The sequence below is a fragment of the Homo sapiens genome, chromosome 2 (assembly GCF_000001405.40).
Source record: "Homo sapiens chromosome 2, GRCh38.p14 Primary Assembly".
Classification (NCBI taxonomy): domain Eukaryota; kingdom Metazoa; phylum Chordata; class Mammalia; order Primates; family Hominidae; genus Homo; species Homo sapiens.
The window spans coordinates 159,595,622-159,615,099 of NC_000002.12; the positions used below are offsets into that span (position 1 = coordinate 159,595,622).

The following is a 19,478-nucleotide window of genomic DNA, read 5'->3' on the forward strand; positions in this document are numbered from 1 at the left end:
AAAGTTACAATTAATATGATTCATTGAAATCTGTTATGTAAGTTTAGCCTAAAGCTGCCTCTTTACATATTTTAAATTCAACCTAGAGGCTTCTCTGTACATTCTGAACTATATCTAACAAGCGGAGGTACTATCAGTCCATAGCCCACTCTTGTGCCAATCACCCAGTTTTGGCATATCAAATGTGGCCAACTGTTCCAACTGTGTTTAACTAAGGCAAATACCAAGCTGTAACCAATCCAGCTATTTCTGTACCTCACTTATGTTTTCTGTATGTCACTTCCTTTTTCTGTCCATAAATCTTCTTCCACCACTTGGCTACGCTGGAGTCTCTGAGCTTACTCTGGCTTGGGAGGCTGCTTGATTCGTGAATTTTCTTTGCTCAATTAAACACTTTAAATAAATTTGGCTGAAGTCTTTCTTTTAACAGACTATACCAGGAGCAACAATGACATGGAATCACAGCTCGGTATGTGCATTTATTTTAAAGGAAAAGGAGTAGTATTGTCCTAAAGAACGGATTCTTGTGCATTTTGGTCTCCTGGCCTCTTTACACTCTTAGGACTTGTTGAAGACTCCAAAAGAGTTTTCATTGTACATAGGTTGTAAGTCTTGATGTTTACCATATTGGAAATTAAGACTCAGAACTATTTTAAGCGCTTATTTACTGTTTCATTTGAAGACAACAATGATTAATATATTGCATTTTAGCAAATTTTAGTATTTTTATAAAAATATGCGTGACACCACAGATCCTGTTAGAAGCACGGCCCTAAAGTTTGTTCAAGAATATAAAAGACAATGAAGGACCTAACCTAGAAAGTAAATTTGTCTTGATTTATAGCAGCTAACATAGAAAAGAAGCTACCAAACATTTTATTTTTGTTTTTTCTCCATTTATTTATTTTTTTCTATCTTTTAATTTTTTATTTCCATAGGGCATTGGGGAACAGGTGAGGTTTGGTTACAAGAGTGGTGATCTGTGAGATTTTGGTGCACCCAACACCTGAGCAGTATACACTGCATACAATTTGTAATCTTTTATCCCTCAGCCCCACTTCCTACCCTTTCCCCCTGAATCCCCAAAGTCCACTGTGTCATTCTTATGCCTTTGCATCCTCGTATCATAACTTAGCTCCCACTTATGAGTGAGAACATACGATGTTTGGTTTCCCATTCCTCGGTTACTTCACTTAGAATAATAGTCTCCAATCTTATCCAAGTTGCTGCAAATGCCATTAATTCATATCTTTTTCATATAATGACTTCTTTTCCTCTGGGCAGATACTCAGAAGTGGGACTGCTGGATCAAATGGTTGTTCTACTTTTAGATCTTTAAGGAATCTCCACACTGTTTTCCATAGTGGTTGTACTAGTTTACATTCCTACCAACAGTGTAGAAGTGTTCACTGTTCACCGCATCCATGCCAACATCTATTATTTTTTGGCTTTTTGATTATGGCCATTCTTGCATAAGTAAGGTGGTATTGCATTGTGGTTTTGATTTGCATTTCCCTGATCAATAGTGATGTTGAGCATTTTTTCATGTTTGTTGGCCACTTGTATATCTTCTTTTGAGAATTGTCTACTCATGTCCTTAGCCCACTTTTTGATGGGATTGTTTTTTTCTTGCAAATTTGAGTATTTAAAATGTTCGAAACATTTTAAAGTTTAGAAAATTTCACTCAACATTGATGGACTTGCTTCCTTAGAATACTAGTTAATTCCTTCATCTTCAATGTGAAAGGCTATTCTATACCTTCTGTGTAAAGTGACTAAATAGCAGAAATTCTGTATCCTAACAGAATAACTTTCTGTGCTTATGTTGAGTTCATTATGTCCTTGATCATCTAAAGAAACAAAAATGAATAGCTTCCTCCTCAGGTATGAAACAGGTAAGGTCTTACTTTTTAAAATTTTTTTTTGGTGGAGTCTTGCTCCGTTGCCCAGGCTGGAGTGCAGTGACGCGATGTCAGCTCACTGCGACCTTCGCCTTCTAGGTTCAAGCGATTCTCCTGCCTCAGCATCCCAAGTAGCTGGGATTTCAGGCATGTGCCACCACACCCTCAGGTGATCTGCCCGCCTTGGCCTCCCAAAGTGATGGGATTACAGGAGTGAGCCACCTCCTCCAGCCAGGTTTTCCCTTCTATGTGTATGTTTATTGTTACTTTGATTAAATAAGTAACCAAAGCTTGTTTCTCAGGCAGCCACGACTCTATCTCAATCAAACCCCAAATATCCTAACAACTCTCTATTTGCATTCCCCCAATCAGATCCTAAATACAGAAAAATAAAACTTTCACAATACACTAAATACACTAAACTATCTTTCAGATTTCCCAGAGTGCCTCAATAAGACCACATAGACGTATTCTTTTTTTTTTTTTTTCTGAGACGGAGTCTCGCTCTGTCACCTAGGCTGGATGCAGTGGCACGATCTCTGCTCACTGCAATCTCTGCCTCCCGGGCTCAAGCGATTCTCCTGCCTCAGCCTCCCGAGTAGCTAGTACTATAGGCGCCTGCCACCACGCCCAGCTCATTTTTGTATTTTTAGTAGAGACAGGGTTTCACCATATTGGCCAGGCTGGTCTTGAACTCCTGATCTTGTGATCCACCCACCTCAGCCTCCCAAAGTGCTAGGACTACAGGCGTGAGCCACTACGCCTGGCTGACTTATTCTTTCACCTCATAAAAAAAGAGCTGCTGGAAAGAATTGGGTTTACTTGATATGTTACTCTCATAAGAATTGCATGGGAACAGTGTCAAATCAAAAGAGATATTTAGCTTTTCCTAGGTTAAGATTATATAGATAACACATTATTAGTACAAATATTTCAGAAAACTTATGTTTTATGAGAAATCCCTGGGAATGTGTCAATGTCTTTACTGTCCATTATAATTTCACTCTTGGGGGAAATACTGATCAAAAACTCAAGAAATAATTACAGACGGGTGTGGTGGCTCACACCTGTAATCCCAACACTTTGGGAAGCCCAGGTGGGTAGATTACAAGGTCAGGAGTTTGAGACCAGCCCGGCCAAACAGACCAGCCTGGCCAACATGGTGAAGCCCTGTCTCTACTAAAAATACAAAAATTAGCCAGGCACCTGTAATCCCAGCTACTTGGGAGGCTGAAGGAGTTGCTTGAACCCGGGAGGCAGAGGTTGCAGTGTGCCAAGATTGAGCCACTGCATTCCAGCCAGGGAGACAAGAGTGAGACTCTGTCACAAAAATAAGTAAATAAATAAATAAAATATAGCTGTTAACTGGGTGTGGTGGCAAGAGTGAAACTCTGTCTCATAAATACATACATACATACATACATAAAATATAGCTGTTAACTGGGTGTGGTGGCTCATGCCTGTAATTCTAGCACTTTGGGAGGCCAGGGAGGGAGGATCACTTGAGGACCAGCCTGGCCAACATGGCAAAACCCCATCTCTACTAAAAATACAAAAATTACCTGGGCTTGGGGGCACACGCCTGTAATCCCAGCTACTCAACTTATTGAGCAACTGACGTTTTACCTAGAGTGTCATATTTGAGAACGATGCTTACTTAAACAGGTACAAGTTACTTTTAAGGAACTAATGTTGACTTTACGAGCCCTCCCTGGAAAACTAGCCTGGTCCCTGTCTTACAGGGACTCAGCCTTTTAGGTGATAAGGAAGATCACTTTCTGGCAGGCCACACAAACTTAAGAAATCTGAGGGACTGCCGAGCGCGGTGGCTCAAGCCTGTAATCCCAGCACTTTGGAAGGCTGAGGCAGGCGGATTACCTGAGGCTGGGAGTTTGAGACCAGCCTGACCAACATGGAGAAACCCCGTCTCTACTAAAAAGACAAATTTAGCCAGGTGTGGTGGTGCATGCCTGTGATCCCAGCTACTCAGGAGGCTGAGACAGGAGAATCGCTTGAACCTGGGAGGTGGAGGTTGCTGTGGGCCGACATTGTGCCACTGCACTCCAGCCTGGGCAACAAGAGGGAAACTCTGTCTCAAAAAAAAAAAAGAAAAAAGAAAAAAAGAAATCTGGGGCCTGGCATGGTGGCTCACGCCTGTAATCCCAGCAGTTTGTGAGGCTGAGGCAGGCGGATCACAAGGTTAGGAGATCGAGGCCATCCTGGCTAACACGGTGAAACCCCATCTCTACTAAAAATACAAAAAATTAGCCGGGCGTGGTAGCGGAAGCCTGTAGTCCCAGCTACTCGGGAGGCTGAGGCAGGAGAATGGCGTGAACCCGTGAGGTGGAGTTTGCAGTGAGCTCAGATCGCGCCACTGCACTCCAGCCTGGGCGACAGAGCGAGACTCCTTCTCAAAAAAAAAAAAAAAAAAGAAAAGAAAAAGAAAGAAAGAAAGAAATCTGAGGGATAATTGGGGGTACTATAGTAGGTAAAATCTCGTAGAATGTCCCAGGCTTGCTTTCTAGCCTGAGGAGAGGAAATATCAGTAATTTTTAAATGTCCTAGCTCAGATTCCTTAGAAAAAGTTCAAAAGTTAATTTTGTAGCTTTAGTAGTTGTACATAGTGCATAGGCTCAAGGATACGCACAAGTTAACTCAAGGAAGCCTGTGTAGTTAATATTTTTGCACACCTATGTAAATAAGCCATACCTCATGAGACCGGCCTTTTGGGGGTGATCAGGAAAAATCTTTAAGATAATTATTGTATGATCACATTGCTACAAAATCTTACCAGAACCATTCCTGCCAAACAATTCAGAAACAAATATAATTCCCTAACAAATTTAGGAATATATGATTATCCATAAAAATCAAGAATATACAAATTAAAATAATAATATTCCCACTGTTAAAAAAAAACGAAAAAATATTCTCAACTTCCAATTGCAAGAGTATACAAAATGATACTAATTCTTCTGAGGGGGATTTTTGTGGATATGTGAAAAGAGCCTTTAAAATCTGAATAACATACATTCACATGATCTTGTCCCGAAATCCACCAAACAGGACAAAAAGGACCAAAATTAGTGTGGGAACCAGGGAAAATACCAGTACTCTTTTAATAAGACTGATTCTATATGCATATGCCCTAAGAGGGCAAGGTTCACAATTTAGTAAGTAAGAGAATATTCAGAAATGTCCTAACCCATAACTTTCATAGTTGCCGTTTAGAATCATGGGGGGCCTATAAAAAGAAGTGGGGGGAATCACAGATCTTGGGACACATGTTTGCAGAGCAGAAAATAATCGAGCTACTTTTTTGGCCTCATCGTTTTTATTTTTCTCAACCTTTCATTAGAGTTGAGGAGACAGCTTTGAAGGTGAGGATCAAATCTGACTAAGCAGACAAAAGCTCTGACTCATCACACAAAACTCATAATCCACAGGATTACAGAGAGTCATTCTCTCCCTCCTCCCACTCACATCTTCAGGTGTGCCAAGTTCTCCCTAAAGCAGGGAAACTGCTAAAATCGAAGTTCCACCCTCACATATAGAACAACAGCAAAGATCTCAAGAGACTCAGAGAAAAAGTTCTAGGAAAAAATATATGTAAACTATACTTCCTGTTGCCTAGCTCTTCTTGCCTCTTATTCCAAATATTTAAAATGATCAACATCTATACCTGTAGCACAAATCATAAAACAAGGAACCAAAAAAACCCCTTCAACAACACTGAGGTAAACAAGCATTACCAGTTTCCCAAGCATTTAATAAAATTCAACTTCCTTTCCCGATTTTTAAAAAGTCTAAAGAATCACTTGCACCTGGGAGGTCAAGGCTGCAGTGAGCCTAGATTGTGCCACTGCACTCCAGAATGGGTGACAGAGTGATACCCTGTCTCAAAAGAAAAAAAAAAAAGGCTGGGTGCGGTGGCTCACGCCTGTAATCCCAGCACTTCGGGAGGCCGAGGCAGGTGGATCACAAGTTCAGGAGTTCAAGACCAGCCTGGCCAACATGCAGAAACCCCGCCTCTACTAAAAATACAAAAATTAGGCAGGTGTGATGGCAGGTGCCTGTAATTCCAGCTACTCGGGAGGCTGAGGCAGGAGAATCACTTGAACCTGGGAGGCAGAGGTTGCAGTGAGCCGAGATTGTGCCATTGTACTCCAGCCTGGGCGACAGGAGCGAAACTCTGTCTCAAAATAAAAAAAAAGATAGAAATAGATGCATGCTTGCTTAACATGATCTTTAAAAATACATATAACAAACCAAAAGGTAATATCATAAAAAAAGTTTAAGTACTAGAATCATTTCCAAAGTCAGGAAAAGAGTGCCCAATGTTACCAATACATTGCAAATAGTAGTCAGCTTAATTTCATTCTTTATACAATAAAGTTACAAATACTAAAGGTGGCAAAATTATCTTTGTTTGTATATGATTATATATCTAGAAAACCCTAGAAAATCAACTGAAAAATTATTAAAAACAATAAGAGTAATTCAATCAACAGTCGGTAGGATGTTTTGGGGAAAACTGGAGTCTTCTGGAAGAAAAATAAGTTGGGAATCTAAACTTCACTTCTTTCACTTAGACTCCACCATGCATAAAGATTTCAGTTTAAAGCAAGATAAACCTAGGAGCCATAAATGAAAAAAATGATACACTGGTCTTCTATACCCATATTTCTCGCTATATTGGAAACAACAGTCTAGGGGTAAAAAAATTCCACCATACATATCAGAAATGGGAGTAAGAAACAGGAAGAGGAAAGGAGGAAAAGGAGAACTAAAATAGATAACCTAGCATTGGTATGCTAGAGCTTGCTCATAGTGGCTCACAAGAGTCAACTGATAATTCTTGGGAATTCTTGAAATCTAGTTGTTAAAAACAATCATTATTAATTAAATTATATAAACTTACAGTCAATAAATTATAATAGGGTAATAAACACTCAAAACATTACTTCCTAATTATTTTGCATTTTATTATTTATGCTGTAGGAAGTTATTTACATCTATAGTATGGTTATGATGAAAATACTATACAATGATTGTACAACTACATTTCTCAACTTTGTTCAATAGCATTAAGTTGTAGGATTGAAACAGGCCATGGTGGCAGTTTTTACACAAGCAAAAGACACTACAAATCAAGGCTCTCTTTGCCACATATACAAACCAGTTAATATTTTCCAGAATACCATAAAATATTCATATTCTTTGACCCAGCAATTCAAGCTCTAAAAATGAATCCTACAGAAATAACTTAGAATAAAAAAAGCTGAGGGATGTTTGATGATATTTCATCCCATCATATAATAACATAAAGTGAGGCTAGGCATTGTGGCTCACACCTATAATCCCAACACTTTGGAAGGCTGAGGAGGGTGGACTGCTTCAGGCCGGGAGTTCAAGACCAGCCAGGTCAATATAGTGAAACCCAATGTCTAATAAAAATACAAAAATTAGCCGGGCATGGTGGCATGTGCCACTAGTCCCAGCTACTTGGGAGGCTGAGGCAGGGGAATTGCTCGAAACCAGCAGGCGGAGGTTGCAATGAGCCGAGATCGCACCACTGCACTCCAGCCTAGGCAACAGAGCGAGACTCCGTCTCAAAAAAACAAAAACAAAAACAAAAAACTTAAATGCCCTAAGATTGGATAAATTATGCAGTCTTTTAAAATACTTAATGACAAGAGAAAATGCTCATGATATAATCCAAATAATTAAGAGCTAATAAACAACGGAGAATGCAAAAACTACATAACAGCTACTTCGTAAAAATACATACATTTTAAAAATGGAAATTAAAACTTGTTTTATTTAAAATGCCGTAAGGAGGCATTTCTGTTAGAAGAAATGCTAATATTTGGAACTAGGACTCTCTGAAATTTCTTTCCTCAAGCTCCAATTTCACCACTATGCATTCCCACATTTTTTCTTTCCCTCTAGTTACAATGAAAGAGTATCCCTCGTTCTAGTTCGTGATTATCAGTCTAACATGGATCTGGAACCCATTTCTTCCCATTTCTTACAGAATCTCTGAATTATATCCTCTGCCCCTGTATCTTCATTCACCCTGTTAAAAAAAAATCATCTTCCTATATTTCCTTCCCAGAAACTACCAAATTTCTTTTCCTCCTCCTTACAAAAAAAAAAACAAAACCCCAAAACTATTTAAACATGTTTCCATTTCTATAGCTTTAATCCAAACCACTCCACTGAAACTATTAATGCCAAGGTCACTAATGTCCTTGTCACTTAATCCAGTGGATTATTTTAGTTCTTTCTTAGGTAATACCACAGACACATTTCACTCTATGGCCACTCCTGTCATTTTCATCTTTTGCAGGAATAGGTTCATGACACTAACCTGCTGTTTCATTAATGAACACCTTCATTTCAGTAAATATTTCATTTCAACATAAAACAAACTAATAATGCATATAGTAGCCTGTGAATAATAGAATTTTGAACATTTGAAATTTTTATCAATGCTTTTCTGTATTTTTAAAAACTTTTATTAATATTTTATAGTGAAGAAATACATTTTTAATTTTAAAGAAAAGTCAAAGGACAATGAATATGATTAACTGTAAGAAGGAATAAGTAACTGGCAAGTTGTACAGCTGCATATACCCTTTTAACATAAACAGGCAAATGACACAAATATGATATGGGAATTTATTTTTTTTAATTCCAAGTTATATTCTCAAATAGTTTTTTTCCCTTTCTTATACATGTATTTTATATTTTATTTTATTTTTAGAGGTAGGAGTCTTACTATGTTGCTCTGGCTGGTCTCACACTCCTGGCCTCCAGCGATGTTCCCACCTCAGCCTCTCGAGTAGCTGGGATTACAGGTGTGAATCATCATGCCCAGCTATTTTTAATTGACACATAATAATTGTACATATTTGTAGAGTACAATATTTTGATACTCAAATAGTTTTAATTTAGGCATCTAAAATGTAATAGAATTACTTACCAGTATGATAAGCCTGCCTTATCAAAGAAGCATAGTTTGAATACTCTCAATATATTTAATAAAATTAGTATTTTTTCAAAAGATTCCTGTCACAAGAGGTTGAAACAAAATTACAACCAAAACATGACAATGCTTTAAAAAATTGACCTTTAGTTATCTAGCTCAACATTCCTTATAATAGAAATTTTAGAGAATACAATATCACATGAAAATATGGTATAGATAAATGTTGATGGGAAGTTGGGCCTTAACATAGGCATAAAAGGACAGTTTTACTAGCAGAAAGGAATGCAGAATCATTAAATGTCAAAAAATTAAAAATATGAGAAATAACTATAAAAAGTTTGGTGAGGAGGGCATTTTTCAGCTTAAAAGTAGGAAAATTATTGTTAAATCTAAAGAACTGAAAAGTTAATATATTTTGTGTGTGTGTGTGTGTGTGCGCGTGTGTGCGCGCGCTAGGAGAGAGAGAGAGCCAGGATCACACTCTGTTACCCAGGCTGGAGTGTGTGCATGCACAGGAGAGAGAAAGAGAGAGAGACAGAGACAGGATCTCACTCTGTTACACAGGCTGGAGTGCAATAATAGCTCATTGCAGCCTTGAGCTCCTGGGTTCGAGCAATCCTTCCACTTCAGCCTCCCAAGTAGCCAGGCCTACGGGTGCATGCCACCACACCCAGCTGATTTTTTTTTTTAAATTTTGTGTAGAGACCAAGATCTTGCTATGTTGACCAGGCTGATCTTGAACTCCTAGCCTCAAGTGATCCTCCCATTTTGGGCCTCCCAAAGTGCTGGGATTACAGGTGTGAGGCACTGCACCTGGCTTGATAAGTGATTTTTATTTATTTCCATGGGTAGCTGTAGGATTATTTTTAGCTCACTTTTAAAGTGCTGAGATTATAAATATAGAAATAAACATGTATTTTTACCCATGTACATGTAATTAATTTAGTTGGTACCTGCAGTATATTAAATGCTACTTGGAACAAATAAAATATTTGCAAAAATAATCTATTTCACAAAAGGTGGCTCATATTAAAATGCAAAAGGTCAAATTCAAGGTACTACGTCACAGAACACTTCATTATAAAAAAAAAACAGCTGGGCCCAGTGGTGCATGCCTGTAGTCCCAGCTACTCAGGAGGCTAAGATGGGAGGATCTCTTGTGCCCAGTTCAGTCCAGTCTGGGCAACAGAGCAAGACCCTGTCTCTAAAAAATTAATAATAATAAAAATTTAAAAACAGTAAACTTCTGGTCACATTCAATTTAGCTTTTCTTCCCAGGCATGCCTTATTCCTACCTTCCCATTTCACACACAGTACAAAAACATTTTCACGTTCTTTAAAACAATTCTTCTCTTTTGTGAGTTTTGGCAAGTGTACCTACAAACAGGCTTCCTGCAGCGGGAAGGGCAAAGAGAGCTTTTATCTAACTGTCTAAAGTTATTACATGTTCTCTTCCTGGACCAAGTGTTTACTATTCACACTGCCCTTCCCTAACCCTTCAACTTTTACTTCAAATCCCCAAGGCATGATTACAGATAAGAGTTATTTACCCAACAAGCTGCAGAAAATATTAATGACAAGGCACAGAAATTTAATGCTAAAATACTTACACTACTATGGACAAAATCTTGATATGTTCCAAAAGGACTTGATTACATAACAATGCTCCACTCTGACTGCATTTAGAAACCTTATTTAAAATTGTCTCCTTTTTTGTTGTTTCTGCCCAAACCCTAAGAACACTTAACTTTGGCTCCAAAGTAACCCCTCTTTTAAAATAAAGAGATTTGACCCACAACTCTGTCAGTTAATGTTGCCTTGCAGAGCCTGTTTTTCTCAGCATGCTGCACTAACAACCCAGAAACGAAGAAAAGGTCATTTTGTGACTTATACACGGCTCCTGATTTTTTCAAATGTTGAAGATAGGTTTTGGTGCTTCCTATGTCATCACAATGGTTTATGTTAACAGTAATACATTACCCAAAGATCAGAAGCATGTTTCAACAACCATGTCATCATAGAAACCAGAAAAGATAGTAAGCATGGCTTTGAACTAAACTTAGACACTAGATAACTTTTTATTTCCACTGTTTTCCATCTTTAATTTACCTCAAAACTTATCCTTGTACAAGATAAAAAATGGTTACATAAAAGTTTTAAGGTTTTCTTATGACAAATCTCTTGCAAGTAAATGTTCATCACAATACTGCAAATAAAACATTTAATATGCAATAATAATAAATTTCATTATTATTATGATGTAGTAATAATGAAGTTAGGAAAAGACTAACTACTAAAATTTATTGTCCTTGGCCAAGACATTATGTAAAAGATCTTTCATACATTTGTGTTTTGAAAATTTTTTAAATCTTTCCTTTTTCATACTCTTTTTTAGTGGGATTTCTATTTTTTTTTTTTTTTGAGACGGAGTCTCACTCTGTCACCCAAGCTGGAGTGCAGTGGTACTATCTCAGCTCACTGCAACCTCCGCCTCAAAAAAAATAATTTTTATATTTTTAGTAGAGACAGGGTTTCACCATGTTGACCAGGCTGGTCTCAAACTCCTGGCCTCAAGTGATCTGCCTGTCTCGGCCTCCCAAAGTGCTGGGATTACAGGCATGAGCCACCACGCCTGGCCCTCCTTTTTGTCCTTATGGATATGCCCGTTACTGGCAGTCCAGCAGTCTGCTTGTCTTCTGCATTCATCCGAAGGAACTAAAAGAAGTAAAAGTGTTTTTTGAGCCAGAGCCATCATCATGGAGAAAAGGGATACACATATATCACCCTCTGCTCTCTACTCAATGTTCTTAGCAGGGGGGATCATGCATTAGATTTCCAGAAAAACTGTTCACAAAAGCATAGGAAAAGAACCAAGGAAAAGGGAGGGGTTCTGGTTAATCTCAAAACAGAAGATTTGAATACCTCTAACCAGAAAGGGTAGTTTTGTCAGTTTTAACCCGGCCTTCACAAATAAGCCTATCACTGAAATGGAGGATTGAAACTGATTAACCCATCTTCTCCAGAAAAAGCCAAGCAGTCAATTTTGAAAGGAAGGATCCCATGACATTTTCTTTTCCTTCTAGTGGAAGAGGTATGGGTTGGGGTGACCTTGAAAAGGCAGAACCATCCCAGATGTCAAATGGATTGGCTCTAATATAGAGCTCTAGCTCTATATTTGTTCTATAATAGGCTTATGCAGTCCTTCTTTTCTTGGATCTTTTCTTCCTGATCTGTGAATATTCAAAATTTAATTGTTCTTGATCTAGTTCAATGCTACCTAAACCGAAGGGCCTTTTCTAATTATTCCAATGAGAAGCCATCTCTCTCCTACTATGAACTTCCATAAATTGTTATCCATAGCTCTCCCAGAGCATGCTTGGAGATAGCATTCAATAAAAGCTTAAAGAATGAAGGTAGATGCCTCCTCCTTTTCCTATTATTAATACTAGAATAATACAAATGTATCAAATATGTGCAATTCTGTGGTGGATGTCACTGAGTCACTTTACTTTTTCAAACAACGTCTAAATTTTCTGTTTTGCTGGGTTACTAATACAGTATAGAAAAATTCAGTCAGGCCAGGCGTGGTGGCTCATGCCTGTAATCCCAGCACTTTGAGAGGCCAAGGTGCGCAGATTGTTTGAGTCCAGGAGTTCAAGAGTAACCTGGGAAACATGCTAAAACCCCGTCTCTACAAAAATACAAAAATTAGCCAGGCATGGCAGCGTAAGCCTGTAGTCCCAGCTACTTGGCGGACTGAGGCGGTGGGGATCCCTTGAGCTCAGGAGGTTGAAGCTGCAGTAAACTGGGATCGTGCCACTGCACTCCAGCCTGGACAACAGAGTGAGACCCTGTCTCCAAAAAAATAAAAAGTAAAAATAAAAATCCAGTCCATTAACTCACCCTTCTTCTTTTCTAAATATAATTATGTAATGAGAACCAGAAAAGGCAGACAAATAAAATCCCAAACCTGCATTTTAGTCAAAAACTAAGAACCCCTCTTCATCAAGAAGTGGGGAAGGCAGGGAAAACCAGATTTGTTTGAATTTTCCTTCCTTTATTCTGTGATGAGATGCTAAAGAGCAGAGAAATAAATGAAAGGACAATAGTCAAAAGGGAGTGAAGAAGACATAAAATAATTTACAAAATGCCTGATATAATCTCAAATAATGGAAAGTTAACTAATTATAGTTATGATCCTATGCAACTCAAAACTAAAACACAATGCATCATCCTTTAATAACCTTTGGATTTGTTGTTTAAAAAAAAGTACAGCCTACTATCAGCTGGATTAAATTTGGCCATATATTCTGTTATATTACAAACCTATCCAGCCATTTCTGAAGCCAAGAAAGAGTAAAATGCACTCTTAGGACTGGTACTCAACCTTGAAGTGCTGAGAGCTACTTCATCATCTAGTGTGGGGACAAACACATACATGCACATGTGAGCCTAACACCATGTGTGGAAACGCATCATTGTAAATCACTCAGGTATTCACTTATTTTAATATACACAAATCAAAGCACAGCTCCCTGTGATTCCTAAAAGGAGAGCTGAAATAGCATTTAACATTTTCTCCTCCCACCCTTCTCACTAAAAGCTTGAGACACAAAGGTGTTCTCCTCTTTCCTTACAGTTATTACTGACAACATGCAGGAAACTATTATAGCTGGCCTAACTTACCAATACCACCTAAATACTGTAAGAGCATACCTGTGCTTAATACTCCAGAAGTGACTCAAAAAGCAAAAGAGACTCCTTATTAGATTTCTTCTAAAAAACTAGAGTAACTCTATAGTTTTAGGATTAGCATTATTCTAATCCAGTTATAAAGTCATGCCAATTTTCCCTTCTATCTTGCTTTACACCACCACTCATAAGCTAAAAGTATTATACTACTTTTCTACATATTAGATGACATTGTTTTAGACTAATTAATCACAATCTACTGTTAATGTTGTTTCCCAAAACTATGTATAACTAGTAAAATATTATTAGCAATATTTCCAAATCCAGGATAATTCTGTTATTGATCTATGGACAAAATCATAAAACACATATTCCAAAAATTACAATAGTTGTATAATCTAGGTTTGTTTGGTTGATTCTGGCCGTGACAGGTAGGACATGACCTTTTACACTTGTTTCCTTCAAAGCTTCTTCATTTTATTCAGCATTAAGTTTAAATTAAATATTTAAAATTGAACCTGTTCTGTGTTGCAAACACAGCTAAAATAAAGAGCTTCTGTAGCAGCAGTGACCAGATTTTAAATGCAGGTAGATCAATAAAAAAAAAAAAAAATCACCAAGCACAGGCTCCATGTGAGTGGAATGGTTTATAATAGCTTGCAAATGACTATGTGCTTGCTGTAACCAGCTGTTCTTAAATTATGAATATGCAACCAATTCATGTTAAAGCCAAATCCCAGCACTATTTCTACAGAGAAATCCCAGTAGTTTTGCTTGTTCTACATGTTAGCTGTGTTAAGGATACAAATAGCAGTAAGCTTCTGAACAAATAGGACCGAACTATTGGCATTTCATGCACTAGGTCCATTATCACAGCAGGCAATGTCAATCATTGGTACATTCCTATAACAGCTCAGGCAATATGACAATGATCTCATAGGAAAAAAAATCAAAATCTCTGCAGCATACTCAAAGTCCTTCTGACAACCTAATGCTTTCTTACTACAGCCAATCAGATTGTCAGACCTGACCTACTAGAAGACTTTCACCAAGCTTGAAACATTTAAAAACATCAATCATAAAAACAAAGACAGGACACTGAATTATACAGTATTAACCTCTAGGGTTTGCATACAAAGACCTTAGATTTATTTATGTCCTAGCGAGTTAAGAGCTTCAGTACACCGTTCTTTACACCAAACTGACTGCCAATTTGATGAACCTCTCTGCCCTCAGCAGGAGTGCACCGTCTTTGATTAATGAGTGCATGTTTGTGGAAAAGTGTTAAGAGGAGAAAACAGGAAAAAACACCCAATTATGTCTACACATAGCTGAAGTACTAATCCAAGAATTATCTTCAAACCAAATGCTCCTTTTTCTTATATACCATGCACACATGTGCACAACACAAAATTAGTAAAGGTTCTTATCTATGTTGCCATCATTATTATTATCCCCAATATGCAATAGTTTTTATTTGAATGAAAGGCATTCAAAAGCCAAAGTACAAGTTGAATTTTATAAATTATAAAAACTATTTTTAAAGCGTTATCTTTTAAAACAAATTGAAATACTCTTACCTTATATAGTAAAAATTTAAGTATGTGGAATAAAAACTATATTTTCACCTCATATTCTTATAAAACCCTATTAAGGTTAAAAACTCAATGTTTAACTGTAAATATCCATACTTTTAAATATTTTATATTTCAAACTCTATTATGACTGCCACAAATCAAATAGCACTCAAAATACATTTAAAAGTCATATATATTCATTTACTTTTCCTGTTTTCAATAAACATGTGGCCAATATTTTATAACTCAATATGCAGTTGAAAATGAATTAAATATATTTATTACCCATAATTTCATACTTAATACGGTCAACAGAAAAAACTGTAAATCAAAGTTTGAACTTTTAAAATGACCTTTCTATTGAGAATTACCTTCCTTCTAGAAATCTGATGCCTGAAAATTCCTACTTAAACTACAGGATGTTTATGTGTAGTACAATTAAGACTATATTATCTCTAAAGATAAACTAAGCATCAGGAGTCCTTTAAAAAAAAGTTCACATTTCATACACAATTCAATGTTCCTTAATTTGATTTATATGAATATCTACCTCAACAAAAATATGTTATGAGTAAATACATTTCTTAAATATTGAGTCATAGTCAAAGGTAACAGAATGATTTTCTTTTTAAGGAGTTGTATGGCTACTATGTAAAAAGGGTTGAGAAAGCATAATGTCTGAATATAAATCTTAGCTTTAGTCAGTAATGTACAACCTATTTAAAAGGAAAGGGTCCCTATAAACTTTGATTTCAGGAAATCATAATTCTGGAATCAATGGCATAAGTGTTAAAAATTTATATTGTAGAGGAAGTTTTGAGCAAATTATATATTCTAATCAATTTCATATTTTAAGTATTTATTTTTGTAATGGCAAATTATTTTAAGTGTTACAAATTTTATGCTCTTTGAAGAATTATTTAAATGCCTAATACACCTAAAGACCTACAAATTAAAAGTCAATAAATATTGGGACTAGAAAAATTCTCTTAACATAGTAATAAATAAACTATATTATATCCTTAAATCTTATTTACATGAATTTTTTAATGGATGTTTCTGTGTTGGGATTATCACTTTTCATTCTTCCTCTTTTCTCCCTCCCATTTCCTCTACCACCAAAAAACACCATGCAAATAATTAGAAAAAGTAGAATATATGTAGGCACCAATGGGATGACACCATTTTAGTATCACATATTTAGTATGACACCATTTTAGTATCACATATTTAGTATCACACATTTTAGTATGATAGCTGAAACTATCAATAAAAGTTATAACAATAAAAATATAATTTCATTTTTTAAAAATCATTAAATGTCTACTAGTAAGTTATTTTAGATCATAGTTTGTATGAATTTTTAAATAACATTTTAGCCTCATTATAAAGAAAAATTAAATACAAAACTGCCTCTTTCCCCAATAATTATTTCTTTTCTTTTGTGATTACTTCCTAGAACAAAAGTTTAAAGAAACAGCCAAATGGATTAACATTTATTAAAAAGGCAACAGTATTTTTAAAACTTCATGGTAAAAAATACTTAATTTTATGTAACCAAAAAAACTCTTAAAATACCTAACTAGGTAACTTAATTAATCCCCCAGGAAATCAAATATATTAATAATCACTAAAACTTGATGACGTAATTCCTCTTAAGGGTCAAAATCACCATATTAATTTGTGCTAAATCATATCTCTTCTTTTGGTAGTTCTACTCAGAAACTACAACTTAAGATCCCTTCTCTGAGAAACCTTTAAACCTAAAAGTAATCAAGTTCCAAAATATACTTTCACTAATTCAAGGAGATAAGACAGAAATCCTGAACTTTCATGCAACTGTGATATCCTACATCTTGTATAGTAACACAAAAGTAGCAACAAAGACATTAACAATTGCAGTTCAAGCTGGGAATGACTGTTCTGTTTCAATTCAATGACACCACTAATGGCTTCTTAGCAGCTCCATGAAATCAACCAGCTGTCAAGTTGATGCATCAGAAGGAACAGTTATGCACTCCCATAAGAAAAAGCAACACATCAGGATGTTTGGCAAAACATCTGCTCCTTTACACTGCAGTTCTATAATAAACATGCAAACAAAGAAATGGGAGAAAGGGCAACAGAATTAAAATTCTAAGGTTTCCATTACAGTCTTATGTGCATTTTAAATGAATGGCTTATAAAAAATAAAAACAAATTTCTACCAAGTTGAATACTTTAAGCTATTCCCAATTTTTTGAAAATGCTAAATATAATTACTCAGAGACTGTTCTAGAAAGAAAAAACCTGCATAAGAATCCATCTATTCTAAAAATTGTAAATAAACAATATTCAAGTAAAATCAGTATCATAATGTTATGTATAAAACTCAAAAATTAAAACTAAAATATATCCTTCCTTCATTTAATAAGTATTTCATAAATGATGCCAGCAGTATTCCAATAAATGCATTTCCAAGACTGAAGAGTTTAGAAGTATTTTTTCATTAGTGTTTGTAAGAGTAAATGGTACTACAATTCGGCACTAGTTTAACATGTGAGAACAGTGAAGCTACTATTATCTGGATTTTAAAATATGTACCCATTCCTGTTTCTCTCCAACCATTATAAGAACACAATATTAAGTTCTCATAAATAACTTTGTATTTTTAAAGCATACAATCTGATTTTCTAAAAAAAAAAAAAAAAAAGACTCTTCATCATCGTAGGCTTAAAATAATTTTAAATTCAACCACTTGTTTCAAATACTTGTAAAAATTACTTTTTTCTATCTGAACCATACGAGTGTCTTAATGTTGTCCAAATTACTGATTATGCAGCAGAGTGACAATAATATGTACAGTGTTTACAATAGGTGTGAGACATCAAATGTACTTAACTACCATTTTCTTAAACTGCTTATCCTCTGTTGCTTGCCATTTATAATCTGCCAAATCTTCTAGTCCTTTGTTGCATGTATAATTTAGAACCATCTGTTCTATGTGCTTTTAACTATTTAAACATTTTTCACCTACCTACAATTCACATAAATGGCAGACACTCAACTCAGTCAAGCTTTCTATATAGCATATTACATGAAGCAAATTCCTGGATAAATAGATAACACCAAAGAAGACTGCTACAGAAATAAAAACTTACCATATAGAACATAAATTTCTGTGTGTTACACAAACCTTTTCAATGTATTCAGAATTGTTTCTATTAGCTTTTTTTAAGTTAATTGTAGTCAGTGTTTTTCCCTCAACCCAGAAGACAAAGAGAATGCAAATTAAATACAGACAGTTTCATGTCCTTGTTAGAAGAGATGTAAATATGCTGACTGAAAATGACTACAGGAGACAGAATTCCACTTTCCCATTCAATATACAGTGCCTCTTATTTATATACTAGTCAGTGTATCATTAAGCTTGGTCATGTGACCAAACCAACTTTTGTGAGGCGAAAAACTATGTTAGACAAGCAAATTAAAACAGTGCTAGTTTTTGTTTATCTGTTCATAATGGCTGACAAAGAGTTTATAGCTAGCGATTATAAAATAACTTTTAAAATCAATTCTGCCTCTTAAATACTCAATAATTGTTTGACTTAATATCTGCTACTAAATTTTAAAGTATCCATTATCTTAAGGTATTTTCCATAGTCATTTCTTTTCAAAATGTAAATAAATAATAGAAAAAGAAAACCCCAGAACATTTTATTAGAAACGGGGAGCCAGATAATCTAAAATAACCATACATAAATATTAACCAAGCTAATTTTCAAAAAATCCATAAGGGAGAGTGGAGCAAATAAGAAAGGGAATATACTGACTACAGATAACAGTTGAAACCTTTAAATTAAAAAAAAAAGTACACAAAAACCAGATAAATAACAAATGACGCACAAGTTTTTTACCATTTTTTGCATATAATCTTCCACCTGTTACCAAAACATACAATACGCAGACTTCGTATACTGATTTTGAGAGCAAAACACAAAAATAAGCCACACAACTTATCAGTAACCTGTAAGTTACACAATCCTATAAAACAGGAGAAAAATTAAGCAAAAAATTTACTCTTGGGAAAATTTCTCCGTAAAGTTTACATGACGTCACTGGGCCCCCTGAACATTCCCTAAACTTTGAGACTTATCCAGACACACTTCCTAATACTTCTTTCCTTTCCTCAAAAATAAAAAAGAGAGAGACTTGGGAATAAAATTGCCCAAGATGGCGAAACGCTTGTTGTTTAGAGGGCAGGAAAAAAAATGGAGGATATTGTAATATACACAAAGGGATAAATTTCAACAACTCGGCCAAGGACTGCAGCTG

At 35.8% G+C, this 19,478-nt stretch overlaps 1 protein-coding gene across 19 annotated transcripts in view, besides 2 other annotated features; it reads right to left on the bottom strand.

Moving 5' to 3' along the window:
* The window catches only part of BAZ2B (bromodomain adjacent to zinc finger domain 2B), a 397,131-nt gene that overhangs the window by 280,310 nt on the left and 97,343 nt on the right, over positions 1-19,478 (bottom strand). The gene's annotated exons all lie outside the window — the stretch shown is intronic.
* Positions 3,610-4,110: an enhancer, noted in NCBI's record as "H3K27ac hESC enhancer chr2:160455742-160456242 (GRCh37/hg19 assembly coordinates)". NCBI's record gives its function as "activates a minimal SCP1, AML or CMV promoter by ChIP-STARR-seq in naive H9 embryonic stem cells {active_cell/tissue: H9 hESC(naive)}" and the evidence as "EXISTENCE:reporter gene assay evidence [ECO:0000049][PMID:30033119]".
* Positions 18,878-19,406: an enhancer, noted in NCBI's record as "H3K27ac hESC enhancer chr2:160471010-160471538 (GRCh37/hg19 assembly coordinates)". NCBI's record gives its function as "activates a minimal SCP1, AML or CMV promoter by ChIP-STARR-seq in primed H9 embryonic stem cells {active_cell/tissue: H9 hESC(primed)}" and the evidence as "EXISTENCE:reporter gene assay evidence [ECO:0000049][PMID:30033119]".